We start from the raw sequence: 23,561 nt of genomic DNA, 5'->3' as shown, positions 1-23,561 counted from the left end.
GACTGGGCCCACATCTTCCTTTCACATTTGGGGAAACTGAGGCTAGGCAGGAGAGGGGCCTGGTCAGACCTAGTTGATCAAACAGTGGGAGAGCCAGGGCTAGAATTAGAGCCCTTTCCTCTTCTCGTCTCTCCATTCCCTCCGCCTCCCTCCCACTCCTCCCCCTGTCCTCAGCCTCCCGGTGACTCAGGGCTGAGTCACCCAGAGGCCCCACAGAGGAAACTTCTTAGGAAAAACAATCGCCAAACAAAGCTTTCCCTGATCTGGGGAAGAGAATAGGCCCAGGGGGCCAAGAGAGGGAGGGGAGGGAGAACACAGGGTGGAGTCGGAGGCTCCAAGACTTGGAGTCTCAGCCACTCCCTTGTGTGGGGCCCTAGATAGGGACGTCCCCGGAATGAACGTCCCCATCTGCAAATAACACCTCCTATGCTCATAGAAGCCCATTGTGATGATAAGTACTTTATAAGCATTGTCTTGTTGAATCCTCCCCAAAACCCATGGCTGGCATTGTCTCCTTTTATAGACGGAGGAACAAAAGCTCAGAGAGGTTCAGCCCAAGGTTACACCATTAGGAATTCAGGGCTGTCTGACTCTGAAGTCCGAAGTCTGACTCTCACTTCTACACACCTTTAAAAAATACCTACTGTACACAGTGGCATGAAGATCAGCTCTCATCAGACAGGTAAGGAGAATGATGGCCACAGTGGCTGTTCAATCACAAATTGTCTCCTTTCTTTCTCTGACTTCCCGGCCCAGAGGGCACACAAACAGGAACACCAATAGTCATTCAAGCAGTTGTGGGCCCTGGGAGCACAAAGGAGGGAGCACCCATGGCCCAACAGAGCCACGGAGGAGGGGCATTGGGGCAGAGCCTTGGAGGATAAATGGAGTTTCCCTTTTGGGAAGGTGGGAACAACAGACGCAAAGGCTTGGGGGTGTGGCCTGCACAAGGAAGCGTAAACAGTTTGGAGAAGCATGGCTGGGGTTGAGACAGTGGATACCTCGGGGAGAAGGGGTCTGACTGCTACGGAGTCCTGGCCTGACCGGACACACTGAGGATTTTTAAGCAGGGAGAGAATAGAATTGGAACTGGTTTCATCTCTGCAGGGGGCCTGGCTGGTGTTGAACTAGGAGTCAGGAGCGGGACTTTCCCTCGGGTCTCCCTGGCGTCCCTCCTCTGAGCTGGCTTCGGGGACCACCCCAGATCCCGTGCTACTCACCCATGGGTCAGAATTGCCCCTGAGGGCTTCTTCCTCGGCCATCGCGAGGCTGGGGGGAGCTATGTGGGCCTCTCCTGACACAGGCCAACCTAATCATCTCAGCCTATAAATAGGACTCAGGATTAGTCTGGAAATAGCTGTGCCAAGCCAACTCCGCAGGCATCACAGGCACACACAGTTCCGGAAATGGTTCTTCTCCTCAACACAATTAAAACCCAACACTTCCTCAGGAAACTATTGTTCACACTCCACTTTGCTTCCTTAAGCACAAGGCCGTCAATTTTGGGGGGAAGAACCTGCCTGCCTACTGCTGATTAGTGGGGGTATGCTTTGTGGAGAGGAGGCCCTTTTCCTGCTTCTCCCTCTCTGAGGACCTGAAGGAGTCACTACCATTCTCTGGGCCCCAGTTTCCCCAAAGGTAAATTAGGGAGGTGGGACATGATGCCATTTTTAACTTACCAGGATTTCAAAAATTAGAATTGTAATAAACATGTGAGCAGGGAGAAATGAACAGGTTCAGGGCCTGCCACTGAGGAGCTGAGTGGCCTTGGATGAGCCACTGTTCCTCTCTGGGCCCCAGATTCCTCAGCTGTAAAATAAAGGTGCTGGGGGATGATGTCCAAGATTAATAATTTTTTTTTAATTTCATTTTTTTGTTTAGTATTTTTGAGAACCCAGCCACCTGGCCATGCTGTACCAGCCTTGTGCTGAGTGCTGGGGATAAAGGAACAAATAAAACCCAGTCCAGGCTTCTGTGTGCCCAGCCCTGTGCCGGGTCCCAGTGGGTAACAGCATGTCCAATCCCCTCAGTGTCCCACTAGAGGCTTCCTTTGGGGCTGCTGGGGACATCTTGTTTCTAGTTGAGAATTCAGATTTATGTCCAAAGACAAGAACTCCCTGAGGGGCAGATTACAACATGGACTGGGCCATTACAATCAACAAGGACACAAAGCTAACACAGCCATCGTTATACACCAGACATGTGCTAAGGACTTGATTTCCCCATTGTTTAATCATCACCAACTCCATTATCACCCCCATTTCACAGATGTGGAAACTGAGGCTGAGAAGAGTAAGGGACTTGTCCAAGGGCACAGAGCAAGTCAGGGCTACGGTGATGTTTCAGGCCCAGACCTGTTTGCCTCTGGAGCCCAGGGTTTAACACACCCCAGTGCTGCTGTGAAAGGGCTCTGGACAGCTCAGGCTGGCCGGCCAATTCGGGGATAACCGAACAGAGGTATGGAACAGAAAGGGGCGTTGAGGATGTTGCTGTGTGTGTGCGGTGGGGGGAGTGACAAGGCTTCAGCAATGGTACTCATTCTCTCCAACCAGCTCCCAGTGCTGCTGTCCTCTGATCCACCCTCCGCTCTGCCTGCCATGGACTAATTGTTCTGAAATCCCATGGATCAAGTCACTCCTCAGCTGAGGACCTGTCCATGGCTCCCTGGTACCCAGAGGATAGAAACCCAGCATTCAAAACCTCTCTAACCAGCTCCCCACCTCAACCCTCACACTCCTGCTCACTAGCCCCCAGGCGCAGTGGGCTCTTCCAGCGGCCAAGCCTGTGCCTACGGTGCCTTCTTGCCTGGAATGCCCAACTCCCCCTTCTCAGCCTTCTTTGACTCTCAAGTAAGGAAAAGCACTCTTTGTCTCCCTGAGCCCCTTGGCACTTATCACAGAGCACTCTGGGCGTTAACTTCCACTGTCTCCGTCTTGGATTAGAGTGGATCTCAGAGGGCCCGGTGGTGTCTGCTTCACCTCCCTCTCCACTGCAGCAGCTTAGCAAGGACTGGCCGGGTAAACTAAAAAATGCAAAGAGCTGAGAGAATCCTGGGAAAGTGCACATTTCCCAGGACTGCCCAATGACAAGCCCCGTACCAAGGCACAGCATCAGGATACCCTGATGTGGAAGAACCAAAAATTGCACCCTCATGGCTTATCAGGATGGTCCTTGTGTCTGTCCCTTTCAAGGGTTCTGATAATGAAATCTGGGCAAGTCACCCTCCTGCTTTAAAACTTCCAATGGTTCCCAGAGGTCTAGCATAAAATCCAAACTCAAGGGCCCACATAACCTAGGTGCTGCCTGGCCCCCAGGCCCTCCTCTTGCCACGCCCCCCTCCCTGGCCAGCCTCCCTCACTTCTTTCAGTTCCTCAAGGACTCCCCCTCACTAAAGCCTTACCCAGGTCGCCTCTCTGCCTAGGGGGCTCCTCCATTCCCTGCTCACTCAGCCACCTCCCTCTCCCTCTTCAGGTCTCACTTTTTAGGGGAGGCTTCCCTGATCTGTCCAGATAAGACCTCACCACTCCCACCCAATCCCAAACGCTCCCATAACCTGATCGTTTCCTTCACAGCAAGAATTAATCTTCAGTGTAAATAATGATCTACTGAAGACCTATGAGGAATGGGAAAGTCTTGTTTTTTGCTGATTCTTCAACACCCAGCTCAGAGCCTAAATATCTCTCAAATGAATGAATATATGAATGAATGAATGAATGAATGAATGAATGAATGAACCTATATACATAAATCAAGACAAGAAGGTGGGCAGAATCCTAGGGAACACTGAGGCAGGAAAAGCAGGGCCCTGGGCCAGGCGTCATGGCTCACACCTGTAATCCCAGCACTTTGGGAGGCCAAGGCAGGCAGATCACTTGAGGTCAGGACTTTGAGACCAGCCTGGCCAACATGGTAAAACCCTGTCTCTACTAAAAACACAAACATTAGCCGGGTATGGTGGCACATGCCTGTAGTCCCAGCTACTCAAGAGGCTGAGGCAGGAGAATCACTTGTACCTGGGAGGAGGAGGTTGCAGTGAGCTGAGATCGTGCCACTGCACTCCAGCCTGGGCACCACAGCAAGACTCCGTCTAAAAAAAAAAAAAAAGAAAAAGAAAGAAAGAAAGAAAAAGAAAACCAGGGCCCTAACTAAAAAAGACAGGAGGAAAAACAGGGCCCTAACTAAAAAGAGAGGAGGGGCCCTAACTGAAAAAACCAGGGCCCTAACTAAAAAAGTCAGGAGGAAAAACAGGGCCCTAACTAAAAAGAGAAGAGGAAATAAACCAGACAGTGCAGCCTCCCAGAAGCAAAAGGAGGGAGTTTCTGGAACTGCACTAGAGACTGGCACATGGAGTCCTGAGGAAAGAGCACTGGATTGGACATCGAGGAGGTCACTGGGGCCTCCCTGATTGAACCAAGGTTCCGTGGAGGTGGGCACAGGGCTGGTACATTGCAGGGGGCAGAGGAGTAAAGAGGGATGAATAAGCAAAGCTCTCAGGCGACGGTTGCTCAGCTGGGTCTATGCCAGCCTGGCCCTGCAGGGTCTGCGGAAGACAGGGCCCCTGTGTCATAGTCACCAAAAGCATCAACAGAGCATAACATTCTTTTTGTTGACAGATTACATTGAGGCAACTTGGCTTTTGGAGTTATCAGGGCTCAGTCTCAAAGGCAGATGCATCAGAGCCAAGACCCGGCCCTCAAGTCCTCCTATTAGGGCAGCACTAGGGCTACCTCTTTGTCAGCAGAACCTTTGGATAGCCGCTGATGGGGTGAGTCAGCTTTCTGGGCCCGGCAGACCTTTTGGGAATCCCTGGCTTTTGGGGCACAACATCCTGGGGACCACCAAAAAGCCCTTTCACCTGAGCTTTGGGAAAGAGGAACAGCTCCGGCTGTGGGTGGCTCATGTCACCATCTGGAAGCCAGCTGGGCCACAGCAGACGCGTAAGTCCTGTATTCATTCATCCCCTTCTCCTTTTGGCAGAAAAGGGATGGCGTGGGTTGGAGGGGTGTTTTCCTGGGTTCTTGCACAATTGCTCATTAGAAATTCACTTCTGTTTGGGTGTTGGAAGCTGGGCGATTCCCCCTAGTAGTGATCCTTCCTGTCTCACTGGTCACAAAGCCCTTTGGCATCTACAAGCTCGTTGGGTCCACACAGCAGCTTTGTTAGGTGGGTAGGGGGAGACCAAGGCACCCATCCTACAGGTGGAGAAACCGAGGCTGAAGCTGGGAGGTGAGCCAGTCTCCTGGCTTCCAGCCCAGGACTCTGCACTCCTCCCCCCACCTCCCCACCTACTTCAGCAGGTCACCTGTGAATCTGATAGTCAGGTGGGCCCCACCCTGCCAGCTGGCCCCAGCGGGCATGACTCATCCGCTTCCCCATGACTCACACACCTCAGGTGCTCCTCCTCTGGTCAACAAGTCCAGAGACTTGGCAAATGGACCCCCATTTTTCTCACCTCTCCAAAGCCTCTGGGAAGAATTCCTGCACCTCCTCTTTATGGGGACTCTGCTCTTCTACAGAATAGCAACCAAGGCCTTGAGAGGGAAAGCAACTCTCCTAAAGTCACATAGCAAGCAACCAGCACAGCCAGGGTGGGAGCCAGGCATCCGGGCACCGAGCCCAGTCCCGGCCTCCTCCCTACAAGATCACTCTCGCCTGACCTCCCTCTCAAGGACAGGAAAGGAGCAGAGACGCACTCTGAGCCTTATTAGGAAGACCTCAGGGACTCCCACTGAATCCACTGTGGCTACAGCGGCTGCTTCCACCACTGAAGTCCCCTCCAGGCTTCCCTGGGCAGCCAGGGCGGGGTTTAAGAGGACGACAGGTGTCTGTATTGCTCTACCTACCTAACAAGGCTGTGCAGGGTGAAGAGTGCTGCTCCGTGGGAAGGCGCTGGGACCAAGGCCGAAGCACTGGACAAAGAGAGCTATGAGCACTACCTGTAAACAAAGGGCACAGAATGTCAGCCTCAGGGGGAGTTCAAGGTCATCTGGTCAAATCCCCATTTGATGTTTCAACCCCTTTCCTCCCCTCCACCAGGGGTCACACAATCAGTACTTGCACACATCCAGCAACACCGCACTCACTACCTGCCAAGGCTGCAAGACCTGCTGCTGGAGGGTTTGGCTGCGTAAAAGAATTGTCCTAAGGATGCACTAAAATCTCTCTCTTCTTATGCCTTGTACCTGCTGGTATTAGCTCTGCCTCCTTTTGGGTCAGCCAGAACAGGTCTGTCCCCCTCTTTCCTGATGGCTCTTTGGAGATTTGAAGACAGTGATCCTGGGCCCCTCAAGTCTTCTACAAATTGTGCACCCCCTTTCCTCCAGCTCTTCCTGAGACCAGGGTTTCCGGTTCGCTCACCCTGTTCCCTGATCTGCTCCAGATGAAACCTGTCCCTACTGACAGCACAAGACCCAGAATTAGACAATCAGTCAAGCTCTATCCAGGACAGGGCAAGCAGGACTCTCACCTCCTTCATTAGAGATATCATGCTTCTATTAATTGAGCCTAAAATCCCATTTGCATTTAAGGCAGCCCTATTGCATGGCTGAATTCAGTTTACAGTCAACTTCAGAGCTGTACGTTAGTACTCTGAAGTTATATAAACTGGGCCCTCACTTAACTGTGTAACTTGAGCAAGCTACATCACTTCTCGGAGTCTCAGTTGCCTTTGCTGTTCAAAGAGGGATAATATTAGAACCTACCATGAGATAAAACATGTTCAGGGTTTTGCACAAGGCATGTGTTTACTCTAATTATTACCCTGATTATTAATAATTAAATTTCTAAGTCTTTTGCCTGCAAATTGTATCTTTCTCATCCTGCACATGTGCGATTTGGGGACCCACCCTGTTGATATGTCATATTCGCAGCTCTGTACCTCAGCATCAGTCTATTATTGTTCTAATGCACTACTGCTGAGCAAGACTGCATTATCAGTGTCTGGTGATAGGACTTTCTCTCCCTCTAGGCTGTAAGCTCCTTGGAGGCAAGGATTCTGTCTGCTTCACCTCTAAAGCTTCAGCATGGCATGTGCCCTGCAAATGGCAGTGCCAGTGGACATATGCTAGATGAGTGGATGAAGGACCATCCCACATCAGCTCATCGTGGAGTATGCAGCTCAGTCCTCCCGCCTCTCAGGGACAACTTGGATCTTCACCGTTCTTCGCCACTAAGAATTCCAGTCATCTACATTCAGAGGGAAGCTGAGCAAACTGGCTCCTGCCCACACTGGAAAATTTCTCTGCCTAAACCAGCTTCCCTAAGCCGAGGGGAGAGTCCAAGATCCCGAAGATGGCAGGGCCGTGCAGGCTCCTGGGATTAAGACACAAACAAGCCCTGTTCTCAGGCTGACAGTAAATGGTTCAGACAGTCCTGATGACTTGTGCATTGTGACTGACACGGGACACAGCCACGGAAGTGGAGTCACGGTACCCAAAACCAGAGAGGTCAGAGGCCAGACACTTATCTGGGCTGCAGGACCTGGTGCCCACCTCTGTGGGTCTTTCTCAAAGACTATGGCAGAAACTTCCTGGTTCCAAGGGACAGACCAAAGCAGAGTTGGGTTCTGTTGTTTCTGCAAATGACTAATGACCTCCCGCACTCTGTCAACTCTGTGTGAGGATGAGCCTTTCGAATCCAGCCCCCCTTCTTTCTACACACCCCAAATTGCACTCTCATCCTCAGATGCACATGGTGGTGCTGCATTTGTTCCCAAGTACAATGTGCTCCTCCCCTACTGCACCTCATCTCGGCAAACAGCACTACCATCCACCATCCACCATCCACCCGGTGGACCAGTCCAGACACCAGGCCCTCACCCTCCTCAACACACCACTCACCCCTTTTGCTCTGTCACTCTCCCCTCCAGTGTATCACCATGTCTTGCTAGTTCAACCCCTGACTGCATCCAGAGTGTCCCCCCTTCTCCCCACCCCAATGCCAACATCTGGGTCCATAGCCCCATCACCTCTTGCCTGCATGACTGCAGAACCTTCCTAACTGATCCTCCTGCAACCTCTCCCTCCTACAATGCATCCTCCTTAGAGCAAGCCCAGACCATGCCACTCCTCTGCCCAGACCTACCATGGCTCCACTATGGCCCCAGATAAAGTCCAAGATCCTTAACAAATCTCTCCACATTCTTCATGACCTGTCCCCTTCAACTCCTTGAGCCTTGGCCCTCATGGCTTCCTGTCTTCCACTATACCCCACCAGGCTCCAGCCAGATGCAATGGCACTCTGTTCCTGAGTCCTCCGTGTAGTCTCCGTACAGACCTCCACACCCCCTAATCTGCCCGGTCACACTCTACTGTAATAGTCTATTTGCAAGTCAGCCTCCCCAATTGCTCCCATGTATCCCAGAGCCTGGCCTAGGGCTGGGACCACCGCAGCTCAAGATTTACCAAAGTAAGAAACTATGACTCCCATGCGTGCACACGTGTGTAACACATACGTGCACGTGCACACACACATTCACAGAGCCGGCAAAGAGTGCAGATGCTGCCATCTATGGGCAAGAAAAGCATTACACTCTCCCTGAGATTCAGACACACCCCAGGAGCTGAGTTTTCAAACTCAGCCAGGTTTAGAATTAGCCCCAGCTAACTCCAAGTTGGTCTGTTTTCCATTTTGGACCTTAAGGCTGCAGCAGCTTAAAAACAAGGTCAGCAAAACCACTGATTCTAGTCCACCACCCACACACTCCAGATGGAGCCATAAAGAGAAGGGTTTCATTCCAGCACTCACAATCCCAGCCTGGGGCTCTCACTACGTGCCTGTTTGCTGAATCACATCCTAGGACATAGGAACAGAAGACGCCTTCTAATAGTCTCAGCTGTGGAAAGGCCAGTCTTTGGGGAGAGAGCTCGCCCGATGAAAGTCTGCAAGCCACCATGGAACCCTGTCTGTCTAGCTGGCTAAAAAGGAGCTTTCTGCTCTGGAGGTGGGATGGGGGGATACTGGAGCAGAGTATTTTTCTCTCCTAAAAGACTGCTCCCAGTTCATTGGGAGGGCCTTCAGACCTGATGGGAGTAACATGATATCTGTCCATTAATGCCATAAGCGTTCAAATGGCCACCCCTAATAACAATAGTTATCATTTTCTGTGCACCTTCCAAGCGTTAAACTCTACAGGCATGTCTCATCATTGCAATAACTCTACCAGGCAGCAATCTTTGTCCTCATTTTGTGAAGCTAGGACACAAGCTCAGAGAGGTGAAGTAATGTGCTCAGGGTCACACAGCTAAGATGTCTGGGCAGTTCCCACCAACGCAGGCTGCCTCCCCTACGTCTTGACCTCACTATATTTCAAAGCTATAAGGCTGGGCCTCTTGCTGACTAGAAAAAAAAAAAAAAGAACATGCAAATCTTTGGGTACTCTAGATCATGGGTCAGCAAACTTTTTCTGTAAAAGGGCCAGACCGTAAATATTTTAGGCTCCATAGGCTACACACCCTCTCTGTTGCATATTCTTCCTTGTTTGTTTGTTATTGTTGTTTTTTAACAACACTTTAAAACTATAAAACCATTCTTAGCTCAGAGGCATACAAAAACAGACTGGGGCCTCCCCAGGACTGTAGTTTGCATCCATAAATACAGAAAGAATGTTTATAATCTCAAGTATAAAAACTTCTGGTGAAAGGGTTGATCAAATGCTAGCTGTATTTCTCCCCCTTCCAATGGCTTTCTACTGAGTCACTCTCTTTCCTAAAGAAGAACCTACTTTGCTACATAATTAAGCAGCAAAGTATTTTAAGGGCTGTTCAGATTCTAGAAACTCATAGCTGCAGATAAAATAGACAGATAAGTCAGATGTCAAAGACAAGACATTAAAAGATCTGGGCTCCAGGCTAGACCCTATTACTGTCACTGGGTCTTTAGCCCTGAACAAGGGACTTGCCTCTTAAGTCCCTTATCTCATAAGTATTGATTCTACACTAATAACAGATTGTTTTCAAATCTTGCAACTGAAAGTGTGATCCCTGGACCAGCTACATCAGCATCACTAGAAATGCAGAGCCTCAGGCCCCACCCCAGACTTGTGGAACCAGAATCTGCATTTTAACAAAAGCCCCAGGCGATCTTAGAATGCTCTAGAACATCTTTTTTGTCCAGCTGAAACACAGTTCATAAAATCTTTGTTAGCAATGAGGAGAGAAAGGGTCTAAAGACATCTTTCATGATGTCATGGTATTAAGTCTCTGACCTAACACATGTACCAGTGATTTCATAAAGCATTCCACTCTAGGACCAATTGACAGACCAAGATCTACCACTGGATCTTAAAATAAAACCTTAACCAGGTAGAAAGGAGACCTAGGGGAACAGGAAAATGTGTATTCCCCATATTATGGAGGGGTGGGGGCAGGGAATAGGTTAGAGAGAGAAATGACTTACCCAAGACCACACAACCAAGACAAACTAGGCGTATGACCACCACCAGGTTTCTTTCTTTCTTTTTTTTTTATTATACTTTAAGTTCTAGGGTACATGTGCACAACCTGCAGGTTTGTTACATATGTATACATGTGCCATGTTGGTGTGCTGCACTCATTAACTCGTCATTTACATTAGGTATATCTCCTAATACTATCCCTCCCCCCTCCTCCCACCCCACTACAGGACCCGACCACCACCAGGTTTCTTAATCTTCCTTAGTCAGGCCTTAGGTTTCATGAGAACTGAAATCATTTTGGTTTGGTAGAGCAGCAATCAGAGGGCTTGCTGTTGGCTTTGGGAAATTCACTTGCTCTCTCAGGGCACAAGTATCTGTAGCCATGAAGTGAGAGGGTAGAGCCAGGCGATTCCTAAAGCCCTGCTATAAAAGTCATGGTTTGGAAAGTTTTGAGATGAGGAGGCAGTCGGGGGGGTGCGCTATGCCAAGGGTCACCACAGTCACACCAAAGTCTCTGGGGGATGGGATCACAGAGCCAAGTCATTCGGTCCTTTGTGAGGAGGCTGAGGAGGGACCTGGCGTGGGCTCTAGCCATGCATCCCCTTGGGGCCACCTCAGCTGGTCACCACAGGCTGGCACGGATGCTAAGGATGTAGCCCATTTTACAGATGAGGAAAATAGGTCCTTGAGAGGGGCTAGGGCTTCTTACCAAAGCAAGGAATTCTTCCCTTCAACTGACAACAGTGCAAGGGTAGCCTGTATTAAGAAAACCTAACACATGAACACACAGATGTGTGCAAATGGTTGATTTGGGAATAATCAGGCTCTTTATAAATAGTGCATTATATTTTACCAACAGATTTGTTACAAAAAGGATTCATTCAGGGCTTTGATGGCAAGGCTCCCAATGCAATGCTTCTCACACTTGAATTCGCACACGAATTCCATGGGGATCTTGTGAAAATCCAGATTTGGATTCAGTAGACCCAAGGTGGGTAGGGTTGCCAGATAAAACATGAGATGCCCAGTTAAATCTAAATGTCAGAAAGACAATAAGATGTCTTGGTATAATTATGCCCCAAACATTCCAAGGGCCATACTCATGCTTAACTGGCACACTGTTTTTTATTTGCTAAATAAGGCAACCCTAAAGATGGAGTCTGAAATCCCACATTTCTGAAAAGCTCAAAGATGAAGCCTTAGTGCATTTAAAATGCAATTTAAATCTATGAAAACTATATTTTATGCAACCATGAATTTTATGGTCTCTTTTTTAAGACCACTGAACAGTCTAGGCAGGCATCTCCCACCTTCTAAAAGAGCATAGAAAGAATTCTGGCTGCCACTGGAACTGGGAACTTGCCTTCCAAGAGAAACAGGTACTGTGGTGGGAGGGGAGGTGGGAGGGGGATGGATACAGGCTAGCCCACAAAAGCCTGTTTTACCTCCGTTCTGAACGATACAGTTCCTTTGGACTACCAGTTCCTGAAGTGAAGCTCAGGACACCAAGAAACATGGCCGTTTCTTCTCTGAGTCCATGAAATGGGAAGGATCTGTCCCTACCTGCTTCCTTTCCAGGGCTCTTTGGAGTCAGATGAGATAATACAAATTCCCAGCATCCACATGATTGCACTGGCCAAGCATTGTGTTAGGTACTTTGTAGAATTCTGTGAAGTGGGTATTGAAGCCCTAACTGTATAGCTGAGAAAAATGAAACTCAGTGAGGTGATGTCCTCAAGGTCTTAGGGCAAGTGCAAAACATAAACCAGAAGGAGAACCAAGTTCTCTCCACTTCTTCGGCCTGGGATCTTAACTTGTTATGCTTTATTGCTGCTGAATTGTGCAAGTGTATTTGCCAAATGAATGAATGAAATGTAACGTTTCAGGAAAATGGTCGCTGTACTCTATTCTATAAAAGGACAGCTGAGCTTTTTATAACCAGCTTCAGATGCTCCTGAAGAATGCTGCCATTCTCACGGATGGCTGGTAGGAATAAGGACTACTGTAACCTTTATGAGCAGAAATTTGGCAAAATTTAGCATGACACAGATTATTTGCTTGGCCAAACTTTAGCCAGGCTTCTGAACCTTCTCCTAGGCCTACCTGTGCACTTCCTTGTAAAATCCAGTTTTAGCAAAAGAATCCTGCTAAGTCTGTTTAGCCAGAACCCCTCATCCTTGATATCTGATCAGGCTCCTCATCCTCCACCATGCCCCCACTGATGTTTGAATCACCCTGGTTTGTCTTCATCAATAATTTTGTTAGGTCGGTTTAGCAAGAATATCCCTTATTCCTGAGCTTCCTCTTAGTAATTTTCCATCCGCTGACCCCTACCCTGCTCTGCAGCTATCAATTCCCACTCGCCCATGCTGTATTAGGAGTTGAGCCCAAACTCTCTCCCTCACTGTAGGACCCTGTTGCAGTGGTCCCTATGCCCAAGGCAATGTTCCTGAATAAAGACTTCCTTACCGTGTTTTCACAAGTGTCACTGAATTTTTTTTTTAACAAGAAAAAGCTATAAAATGTGTCATTTTGACTCAGGAACTCCATTTCTAGGGCTCACTTCTAGGAAATAATAAAAGAAGAACACACAAAAAAAGTATGCACTAGGTTGTTCATTGCAGTATTGTTTATAAACTGCCTAAATGTTTCATAATTGAGGATTGTTAAGGGAACATGGTACAGGCACACCAAAGATAGAATAATAGTGAGTGATGAAAACTCGGGTGGGCATTTATTTCTACCATAACAAAAAAAAAGTAGGAGGCAAGACCCTTGTTTAAGGACTAAAGAGCCACTGACAATAACAGGGTACAGCCTAGTGCCCAGATCTTTTAATGTCTATATTCGATATCTGACTTATCTGTCGATTTCATCTGCTATGAGTTTCTAGAATCTGAACAGCTCTTGAAATACTTTGCTGCTTAATTATGGAGCAAAGTAGGGTCCTGTAGGAGAGAGAGACTCAGTAGAAAGCCATGGAAGGGGGAGAAATACAGCTAGCATTTGATCAACCTTTTCACCAGAAGTTTTTATACCCAAGATTATAAACATTATTCTCTCTGTATTTATGGATGCAAACTACAGCCCTGGGGAGCCCCAGTCTTGGTTCTTTGGGGGTGATCTTGGGCAAATCCTGTTTCTCTCAGCCTTTTTGTTAATAAATAAAAAGCATTATTTCATTTTTTAATCCCTAGGACTATTGGAATAAAAGATTTAAATTAGAATAAACATTTATCTACTTAGGTATAGTATGCTTTTAAAACTTTTAAAAATTAAATTTAAAAAGAATCCTTAATAACATGAGAAAAATACTTACGATATAATGTTGAGAAAAAACAGAAAGTCAGAACAGACAATTATAAATATAGGATAATTGTGTGGGGGTAAAAAAAAATGCACTGAAAATATCAGGAAGGAAGGGCACCCAGGTGTTGGCAGTGATTTTCTCTGGTTAGTTATGAACACTTCTTTTTTATATATATACTTTTTTATTTCCTAAATTTTCTATCACAAGTGTAATAGAAATAATAAGGGTGGGGGGAAAAGGTCCTTGGAGGTGGGGAGAAAAAAGTACATATGCCACCCACATCATCAACACACACCCAACAAGTTAACTAGTATTTACTTAGTACCCACCAAAACCCAGCTCAGCCACAGTCTCTGTAGCAGGGAAATTAAGGGCCAAGCCCCACCCTGAAGGCTCACATATGTAGAATATATATACTTTGCTTGGCAAATAAGCTTGGCTCTGATGATATTCTTATTGAGGTTGGAAAATAACAGGACTGTTTGCTTAGCCAGCTCAGCAGAATAAACGAATCCACTCCCACTGGTGCGACCCCTTCACTGGAGTTCCCTGCGAGGCTCCATGGCTTAAAGCCTTTCTGGATCACTCTTGGGAAGAGTCAATTTCAGGGATACTTTATAGCCCAGGAAGAAAACTGTTCTCATCCCTTAACCCAGGCACTGAATGCAAGAGGTGAAGAGGCTCCCCATGAGGCAGAGCAAGCAAGGGAGGAGGGAGGAGCAGGAGGGCCTGGGAAGGAACCTGACAGGCTGTGTGTGGGCCCTGGGGACCCCTGGGCAAAGGAGCTCACGTCTCCAGGCCTGAGTTTCCTCACTGGTAAAATGGGTCACATAATGACAACCCCAGGACTATTGTGAGACTCAAAGAAGAGAACGTAAGTCCTTTCATTTTTCTAAACTGAGCCTCAGTTTCCTCATCTGTAAAATGGAGTCACTATCTCTCCCCTCGTAGATCTGTTAAAAGATTAAAGCAGATAGTGAAAGCAAAAGGTGAACATACATAGTAAGTGTGTTACATATGGTGGCCCTTATTATTGTTGCTTGTAGAGCAGGGAATGGGATACATCAACAAATCCTAGGCCTCAACTCCCTTATCTGCAAAATGGGGCAATCAATTCAGTCCGAAAAGATTAAATTCAAGAACAGTAGCTGAATCACCAGTTGCACCACTGCGGGCTCACTTTGTGTCTCAGACATGCCGGACCCAAGTACATGTGGGGAGCACAAAGCCCTCCAACTCAGAGGCCATCAGAGCTGGGAAGGCTGACATTATGCTGTCCACCCTACAGTGCAGAATGGACACTGGGGCCCAGAGAAAGGCATGCATTAGCCCAAGTCACCCAGTACTTTGTCACTGGCAAAGCCAGGACCCAAGCCCAGGCCTTCAGCTGCCTACCCTTGCCCACAACACCCACTGCTTTTCTCTGCCCTATTCTTAAATTGCTGATGTGGTCCCAGGCAGGGCAGACGAGAGCAGGCATATGGCAGGGGAGGGACAGAGGGAAGGGGAAGCTGGCCAGCAGCAGGAACTGAGCCTGCCTGTGGTCTCCAACTTCACAAACCACATCAGGCTGAAATATGACACACGCTCACTCCGTTGAAAGCGAGGAGATATTTTTACTTAACATCCCCCGGCTGCCTAAACACTGGTCTCTTTTTTTCCCTTCCTCCCCAAAATGCATAACCCCTGGGACGTGCTTTTCTCTGCTTCTGCTGGCATTTTCTCAGGGAATAACCAAGGAGCAGGAGAGTGTCCAGTTTTCCTGGCTTCGCCAGATAGATTTCCAGAGCATAAGCTTGATTGATGAAAAGGGGGGACCAGTCCTGGCTGGGCTCTCACCTCACCACATGACCTTGCTGGGCAAGTCCTGTGTCCTTTTGGAGCCTGGATTCCCTGAAATGGAGGGGAGATTGACCTGCACTGAGGGTCCTGCGGATGGCACAGGAAAGCATGAGTTTACAAACAGCCCCGGGAGGCCCCTCCAGGCCTCTCTGCTGCAGGGCTGAGCTCTCCAAGCTCTGCACACCGACACCCACCCCTCATAAAAGCATAACAAACTCCCTTACCAGTTCTCCTAATACCAGGACTAGAAAGAATTTTCAAGAGAATGTTTAGTGCTGTCATTAATAGCTATGGCTCTGTCGTCAGACCTCTGGAATCCTTGCACCATCACCCAATAGCCACACAACCCGGGGCATGTTATTCAGCCTCGGACTCAGTTTCCTCATCTGTAAAAGAAGATACTAGTATCTACCTCAGAGGAATGGTTGCAAGGAATCAATAAAGTAATTAATGTTCCAGTGCTTGGTATATTAAAAGATAGCTTTTTTTGTCTTTTCTTTTTTTGTTTTGAGACAGTATTGTTCTGTCATCCAGGCTGGAGTGCAGTGGCGTGATTTCAGCTTACTGTAACCTCCGTCTCCAGGGTTTAAGCAATTCTCATACCTCAGCCTCCCAAGTAGCTAGGATTACAGGAGCATCCCAGCACGTATTTTCAGTAGAGACAGGGTTTCACCATGTTGACCAGGCTGGTCTCAAACTCCTGGCTTAAGCCATCAACCCAACTCGGCCTCCCAAAATGCTGGAACTGCAGGTGTGAGCCACCATGCCCAGTTAAAAGATAGCTTTTTATTATTATCATGCAAACCAACATCTCTCCATTTTACACATGAGGAACCAGAGGCTCAGAGAGATAGGATTTGCCCAAGGTCACCCAAAGAACCAAGACTGGGGGTCCATTTCCAAGTCAGTGCTTCTAACTTCTCTCACACCTGTGGTCTCTGATAAGCAAATATACACACCCAGAGGCCGCAGACACAGGATGTAAAAGTTTTCTTAAAGAAAACCAGAGCTCAGTGTCTCAGCAACGTACCATAGACCAAGCAGAAATCATCTCTATGACCCACATCACAAATGACCCAAACTATTCACATGGAGTAGGGGAAAGTGACCCACTGTCACTGGATGGCTAAAAGTGAAGGCATCCAATCAACGTGTTTGGCAGGAGTGCACACACCATTGTTAACAGTGGCGACCTCTGGGGAAAGAGGCGGGCTTGGAGGGATTCTTTAACAATTTTTGTTTGTTTTAAAACTCATGAAAAAGAAAAAAAAGTTACAATGCTGAATACCTTAGCAACCTTCTCCAGTAGGTCTAGCCTGTTGTCTGCTTTTAGATGAAATTTATAGCAGGTTCTGAGACCTTCAGCTGGGCTTCCAGAATCTGCTGCTCTGACCCATCCCAGTGGCCACTGCTCTAGTTCAGACCTGCAATCTACTTCACTTGAATCATGCAACAGCCTCCTCAGGGCCTTCCTGCCTCCAGATCAGCCTCGTTCAATGCATCCCCTACATCAGCCATTCAGAATAACGAGTTTTTAAAAATCACTGCTCTGTCAAAACCCTTTCTCAGCTCTTCATTGCCTTCAGGATGAGGTCCAAACCCTTAGCTTATAATCTAGTTCCATTTTCATTTAGATTCTCAACCTCCCACCACCCCGCCCTTCTCCCATCCTCCACTCTAGCCACATGGATGGCTCAGAAAATCTCAGTGCCTTTGCACTAGTGGTTCCTGCTTCCCAGAATGTCTTTTCCCCCAACTCCTGTTTCTCCTGGTAAATGATTATTCATTCTGAGGTCTGGCTCACCTAGACAAAATTAGTCACTCCTCTTGCAGGCTGAAGTCACTCTTAATATGGCACAAAAGTGTCAAACAGTATAGATGGCAAGCATCTTGAGGACAGAGAGCTCTGTCCTCTTCCAAGGCTCTTTGGCCCCTCGCAGGGCAAGGCACAGAACACAGGCCCAGAGAAGTGCTGAAAGGAGGGAGGCGGGGAGGAAGGAAATGCCATGCGGGGCAAACCCTGCAGCCACCCCTCCTGGGAGCAGCCTGTTTCCAGGCTCATGTTAGTCCCTAATAAAAGGACTGTGGAAAATTCTGGAGTAAACTTTCCTCCCCTGATTCACACAGAAACCTTCTTTGCTGCTGTGTAACTCACCGAGTGCCAACCCAAGCTCCCCTGGCTGTTTACAATTTCCCTGGCATTTATAAATAGCATGGCCCCAGAAAGAAAAATGGAGTTTCAAAGGAGCTGAAAGCCGACCGTTCCCACCCCCATCCTTCCTCCTCTGTTTCCAAGCCTCTCCCCCTTAACAGCCCCAAGAAACACCAACCAGCACCCCCAAGTGTGTATGTACAGGGAATGCTTGTCCCTTTAGTAAACGGAACACCCAAGAAGGAGGCTAGAGTCCCTCCCAGCAAGGAGTCCGCAAACGGCAGACCGGAATTGGGTCTCAGCCCTACCCTGCCTCACTGTGTGACAATTAGCCCATCATAAACTCTCTGGGTCCTTGACTTTTCTCAACTGTGAAATGGAGGAAATGGAGATGGGGTAAGATTCTAGCAAGCTATGGTCGCTGTAAACGGCAGAGCGGTGAGAGGTCCTGGTGCCCTGGTCAGAAATGTGGTCCTGGGAGAACAGGACACACAGGATTAAGTGTTTGAAAAGTCCCCAGATGCCAAACAAAAGCGAAAGGCACCTCCCCAGAGGCCCCGCCTTCCACAAAGTCCAATTACCCTCAGGACAGCCCAGAATGAGTTCTGGGTGTTTTAAAGCTCCCTTCCATGCTCTGAGGAGGGTGTGAAGACAGGATAAAGCGACAGATGTCTGGGCAGACAAGGAGCTAGGAAGAAAGCCAATGTCTCCTGCTCACCCACACCCCCAGCCCCCAGCCTTCCAAGGACTGGGGCTTCCCCCTGGGCACTGCCCAGACCAGCCAGCCTGCACTGGACCAGAGGGAAGTTGCTGTTATTTAGGTTCTGGGGGGCTGGACCCCAGAAGACATGGGGGCTCAGGGAGAAGGGGTTCCAATCACTGTCTTCAACTCCAGAAGAAGCTTCCGTGTGAGTCAGGGAAGGGAACACTGCAGGGCCGGGGAGAAGCCAGCACCTACAGGTAGCAGGCGCCTGAAGATTTCAGACAGTGTAAGGAAGAACTTTCTAACAGTCCCCAGAAAGAGGAAGCAGCTGGAGAGGAGAGCAGGCACAGGTATCGTCCAGGAGGCAAGGGTCCTCTGAGTGGACTCCCCAGCAGAGTCACCGCCCAGACCGTAGCTGGTGGTCCCCTGCATGCCCGGGTCAGACAACCCAAGTGCAGGGGTGACCCCGGGCCAGTTCCCCCATCCCGGGGGCGGGGTCGAGGTTATTAGCTCAGGTGCTAGCAGCACAGTGGAATCACGGGGTGGAGGCCTGGCCCCTCTCCTCTCCTGCTCCGGCGTCTCCCCATCCCCCAACTCCCATCCACACTCTTTGGTCCCTTGGAAGACGGGAAAAGTGAGCGAGGAAGCCCTTTTCCAGCGATGCCCCCGCGGCCGGGCCGAGCTCCAGGCGCGGGCGAGATAGGACCGGGAAGGAAGGGAGAGGAAGGACTCAAATCAGCCCGGGACCCCCAGATGCCCGGGGCCGGGGCCGCGCGCCTCCCCTACCTGCTGCTGCGGCACTGGAGACAGCGGCTGCTGGGTCCAGCTGCGCTCAGCTGGTTCCGGGCGGCGGGGCGGGGGCGTTGTGGTGCGCGCGGCCGGGGTGGGCAGGGCGCGGGCGGGAGCCGCCCTCGGGGCGGGGCGGCCGGGCAGGCGGGTGGGGGAGGAGCGCCAGGCCCTCCCGTCGGCTGCTGGGCGGGTGGCTCCAAGCTCGCCTTCGTCCAGGGGGACCCCTCGCTTCACCTCGCAGGAAGGCACCAAACCAAGCCCTCTGCTTTCCCCTGGAGGAAACTGAGGCCCGGAGCACGGAGGGGAGATCTGAAGAGGCCTAGGGTCGGGGAGGAGACCCAGGGCAGCTCCTGAGCTGGGCTGGGGCCAAAGAGCTCAGATGGGACGGGCAAGCGAGCAATGCTCAACTAGCACCAGCGGAGGCAGATTTCAGCCCTGGAGAGAACGGACTTCAGGAGGCAAAGCCCTCGAAGAGTGACATAGGCTGCATGCAAAGCAGGGGAGATTCCCTCCCACGGAAGGGAATAAGGAGGAAGAGCGATTCCCAGCTCATTCCGAATGAAGTAACGAAAATGCCAAGTGCATCCCTGGTCCTTAAAGTGGACCATTAAGCAGGCGCCTCGGAGTCAGAAGGCCTGGTTTGGAACCCCAGACATCGACTAGTCCTGTAACTTTGGGCAAGCGAGCTCACATGTCTAAGTCTCCGTTTCCTCGTTTGTCAAATGGGCATCCTGAATTGCCGCTTCATGGGGCGGTTGAGAAGACTCAGTGAGAAAAAGACTCTCAGCACAATGACAGGGACCGTGGCTTCTGCATAAACGGAAGGGATGTTCTTATTAGTGTCATGGCAGATACTGTTTTAGGAGATTGAGGAAATCCACATTGGGTAGAAAGATGAGTGCAAGGTCAATTTTAAGCAAATGTAATACTTTGTTGATTTCAACAACATCTCATATGCATTTGAGACGATAGCCGTTTATAATGCAGCAAGGCATAAGACGGCCTCCCAGCAGTCCTGGTGCACACATGAGTTCCCAGGACTTTTGGAGTTGCCGCGTGACTCCGGTTTGGAAGGATTCACACACTCCACAGGAGACTGCACCACATGACAGAGATGTCCATTCCCAGCCTGGGTGCTGGCAGCAGCCCCATGTTCAGCCAGGGTAAAGCTCCCTCTTAACACAAGGTAAAATGTACTAGAGTCAGTAATTGCCGGGTGCTGGGGATCAGAGCAGAAAAGGCTGTTGTTTAAGTAGCACAGAAGCCAAGAGCACAGTGCTCACTCCCTGGTTTTTCCATTGAATAGCAGCCAGGGAAGCCACAGGACCCAGGGAATCTCACCCTGGCTCTTCCTCCTGCCATTCTCTCTTTGTTCAACACCAGTAAATACAAGAACCATTTCTTGAATGCCTCATGCCATGCTCTGGGCTTCCCACGTATTACCGACTTTAATTCTCACCTCCCTACCTGGCCTCCTAAGGGAGGCATTACCATGTGTATTTTTCAGATGAGCAGGCCAAGCCCACAGAAAGGGTTAAGTACTCTCTGGAGGTCACACTACTGATACTGTGCAGTCTACTCTTCTATGCCTGAGTCCTTGGCCCTCGCTTCTTTGCTCAATGTCTTATGTCACACTCTGCCACCTTTCCTGGCTTGGGAAATTCTGCCCAGTTCCACTTTCTCTGAGAATACAAGCAAGGTATCCACCCCGCAGGGAGGCTCACACCATCTCTGCTACTCTCTGCTTTCTCCAGAGGCTGCCTGGGGCCCAATGCAAGGCTGCTGGGGAGAAAAGCAAAAACACAGGCTTATTTGGCTCTGGAATCTTTGATTACAAGCCCCGGCATACACATGCCTTGGAATTATCTAACATATCATTTCCAGCCCCAGCAACTGCTCTCAGACAAAGGGAGGTGGAACTCTGAATCTGTGTCCCCATAGAACTGGAGAATACCACATCACGATGGAGGAAACATTGGAGAATGTCTGCTCCAACTCCTCCCTTTAGAGATGGAGAAACTGAGGCCAGGAGAGCAAAAGGGTTCACATTCTAAGCTAGATCTAAGGTTCCATATTCTAAGCTGGGTCAGATGCCTACCCATAACCCTGTAATTGCTCCATTTGGTGGCTGGAGAGGAACATGGGAACAGGGTATCACCAGGAATCATTAGAAATGATAATGAAGATAATGATGATGATGATTGATTGATGATGATTGTGATGATGATAACCAATACTTACATGGGAGTGCTCCTCTAGGAACACTTCTAGAAATCTCCTGGTGCTTTGCTTTATGACTCAACATGTGTATTTTATAGCTGGCAGGATATATCAAGTCTGCCTTTCATGGATGCCTAGAAGTCTTCTTGGTATCCTGTCTTCATTCCTTTCTAGATACCTCTTTGTACTTCTCCCCCCATTGGATCTAGGTAAGGTAAGGCCTGTTTGTCCTGGATCCTCACCTCAGAGTGAATGTCTTGCTGATAAGGATCTCCTCTGATGGAAGAACTTTGATATCTTCTTTTGCCAGAAGACCACCTCCTTCCCAGAGTGAGGCTGGGGAGAAATGAAGGCCACACACAGGCCAGGCATTAGACAATCTGGGGGTACCTGCTCTCTCCTCTGAGAACGCCTCTTCCCACCCAAGGGGATGGCCCTCACTTGCACCCAGGTTTGTACTGTAACCTTCCCCCACAACACAGTTGACAGCATGAGGAGTGGACGGCAGAAAAAAGCTGGACTATTAGAATTTGGAGCTGGAAGTTGAGACATGACAATCATGGTTAATTAACTGGGTCTGTGAGGACCAATGATCTCTGAAGGCCAAGGCTGCCATTTTGAGGTGGCCATCTTCCATCGTATTCACAGAGAAAGCCAATGAGGCTCGTTAAATGACTAGAAGGGTGTCGCAAAACTCACAGAGGAGATGCCTGGGCTGGGCAGCCCAGGAGGCTTCAGGGTTCAGGGGCTCTTCTGATTACAGACCTCTCCTGGAGCTGGCTTCAGAAAGAGAAGTTATCAGCACAAGTATTTGTTGAGCATCGAATGCCTTGTAGTTTGTCCCTAGAAGCAGAGGATGAGACAGGGATTTCATACAAGGGATTACTTGAGAGAGCACTCTCAGGAGATCCTGAAATATCCCATGGAACACTAGGGCAGGGGTGCAGCTGGGCCTCAGGATCAGACCACAAGCAGGACCTGAGTACTAAAGGGAACCCAGAAAGTACTCTCTCCCCCATCTTTCATCTCTGCCTGTCTGCTCACATCACACAAGCATTTCTGCTTTCCAGAAAATGGCTTTTACCAGCAGCAAGCTGGAATCTTTGTTTGTAGTCCACATTCTAAGTTGGATCAGATGCCTACCCTTTATCTAATTAACTCTGGCCCGAGTGACAGGGTCCTACTGCACAAACCTGGCTGCTCCCACTGTAACCTGTGGGTGGAGGGGGTGCACTTCCCAGAGAAAAGGGGAGGGGAAGCCAAGCAGAGACAACGGCTTGGATTCAGTCAGCCTTGAAAGGATGGAAAGAATAAGAGTGGAGGTGAGGAAGGGAACAGCATCTTCTGCTAAGAGCACAGAATAAGCAAAGGTGTGGAGGTCAGAGAAAGACAGAGCTGGAAGAAGGAAAGGAGACTGTTATTTTCTCCAGCCTCGGTCCCCTTTAGTGTTGTGCTAGTGTTGTGTTCTTAAGAACTGATTTAGTGTGTTTAGTGTTGTTTTCTTACGAACTGATTGCTCAATTTCCATGAATTTTTGTGGATTTTTTTGAGACAAGATTTCACTGTCACCCAGGCTGGAGTCAGTGGCACAAACATGGCTTCCTGCAGCCTTGACCTCTGGGCTCAAGCAATCCTCCTGCCTTAGCCTCCCAAGTAGGTGGGACCACAGGTACATCCCACCAGGCCTGGCTAATTTTTATGTTATTTGTAGAGATGAAGTCTCTCTATGTTACCAGACTGGTCTTAAACTTTTGGGCTCAAGAGATCCTCCCACCTCAGCCTTTGAAAGTGCTGGGATTATAGGAGTAAGCCATCACACCTGGCCAAATTTCCATGCATTCTTACACCCAGCTGTATTAAGGCTGTATTAAGCACAGCCTTCAATAACAATCTATATAAACTTATAATTAAGTAAATTATAAATTGATATGGTCTGGCTCTGTGTTCCCACCCAAATCTCATCTCGAATTGTAATCCCCATAATCCCCATGTGTCAAGGAAGGAATCTGGTGGAAGGGAGGTGATTGGATCATGGGGGCAGTTTCCCCCATGCCGTTCTCATGATGGTGAGTTCTCATGAGACCTGATTTTTTTTTTTTTTTTTTTTTGAGATGGAGTTTCCCTCTCGTTCCTAGGCTGGAGTGCAATGGCG

The 23,561-nt window shown here is 49.1% G+C and overlaps 1 protein-coding gene and 1 long non-coding RNA gene across 44 annotated transcripts in view, besides 4 other annotated features; one reads left to right on the top strand and one right to left on the bottom strand.

Moving 5' to 3' along the window:
• GSN (gelsolin) overlaps positions 1–23,561 on the bottom strand; it is a 131,360-nt gene that overhangs the window by 45,437 nt on the left and 62,362 nt on the right. For 8 of the 43 annotated variants that reach the window (NM_001353076.2, NM_001127666.2, NM_001127667.2 and 5 more), the window contains exons 1-2: positions 19,187–19,244; positions 5,844–5,936 (exon numbers count right to left, since the gene is read on the bottom strand). Coding sequence is in view for 7 of the 43 variants with exons in the window: in XM_047423265.1 (XP_047279221.1) it covers positions 4,856–4,954 (99 nt within the window). In the remaining 36 variants the exon portion in view is untranslated. Of the gene's footprint in view, positions 1–644; positions 858–1,220; positions 1,324–4,013; positions 4,088–4,855; positions 5,193–5,452; positions 5,532–5,843; positions 5,937–6,182; positions 6,396–15,542; positions 15,597–17,349; positions 17,482–19,186; positions 19,245–19,880; positions 20,000–21,651; positions 21,746–22,108; positions 22,253–23,561 lie in introns of those variants that run through there. The other 35 variants (NM_001353054.1, XM_047423267.1, XM_047423268.1 and 32 more) reach the window with 18 other exon arrangements.
• Positions 135–1,334: an enhancer, noted in NCBI's record as "MED14-independent group 3 enhancer chr9:124048350-124049549 (GRCh37/hg19 assembly coordinates)". NCBI's record gives its function as "activates an origin of replication core promoter dependent on BRD2, BRD4, P300/CBP and CDK7 cofactors, and independent of MED14, by STARR-seq in HCT116 cells {active_cell/tissue: HCT116}" and the evidence as "EXISTENCE:reporter gene assay evidence [ECO:0000049][PMID:35650434]".
• On the top strand, positions 1,876–6,638 carry GSN-AS1 (GSN antisense RNA 1). The gene has a single exon (NR_103560.1). It is a non-coding gene; the product is annotated as a GSN antisense RNA 1 (long non-coding RNA).
• Positions 2,149–2,649: an enhancer, noted in NCBI's record as "H3K4me1 hESC enhancer chr9:124047035-124047535 (GRCh37/hg19 assembly coordinates)". NCBI's record gives its function as "activates a minimal SCP1, AML or CMV promoter by ChIP-STARR-seq in naive H9 embryonic stem cells {active_cell/tissue: H9 hESC(naive)}" and the evidence as "EXISTENCE:reporter gene assay evidence [ECO:0000049][PMID:30033119]".
• Positions 4,733–5,932: an enhancer, noted in NCBI's record as "CDK7 strongly-dependent group 2 enhancer chr9:124043752-124044951 (GRCh37/hg19 assembly coordinates)". NCBI's record gives its function as "activates an origin of replication core promoter dependent on BRD2, BRD4, P300/CBP, MED14 and CDK7 cofactors, with strong dependence on CDK7, by STARR-seq in HCT116 cells {active_cell/tissue: HCT116}" and the evidence as "EXISTENCE:reporter gene assay evidence [ECO:0000049][PMID:35650434]".
• Positions 19,057–19,356: a silencer, noted in NCBI's record as "silent region_20233". NCBI's record gives its function as "represses an Ori minimal core promoter by ATAC-STARR-seq in GM12878 lymphoblastoid cells {active_cell/tissue: GM12878}" and the evidence as "EXISTENCE:reporter gene assay evidence [ECO:0000049][PMID:35858748]".

This window comes from Homo sapiens, chromosome 9 (genome assembly GCF_000001405.40).
Source record: "Homo sapiens chromosome 9, GRCh38.p14 Primary Assembly".
NCBI classification, from domain to species: domain Eukaryota; kingdom Metazoa; phylum Chordata; class Mammalia; order Primates; family Hominidae; genus Homo; species Homo sapiens.
This window is presented reverse-complemented; position numbering and strand designations above follow the sequence as displayed.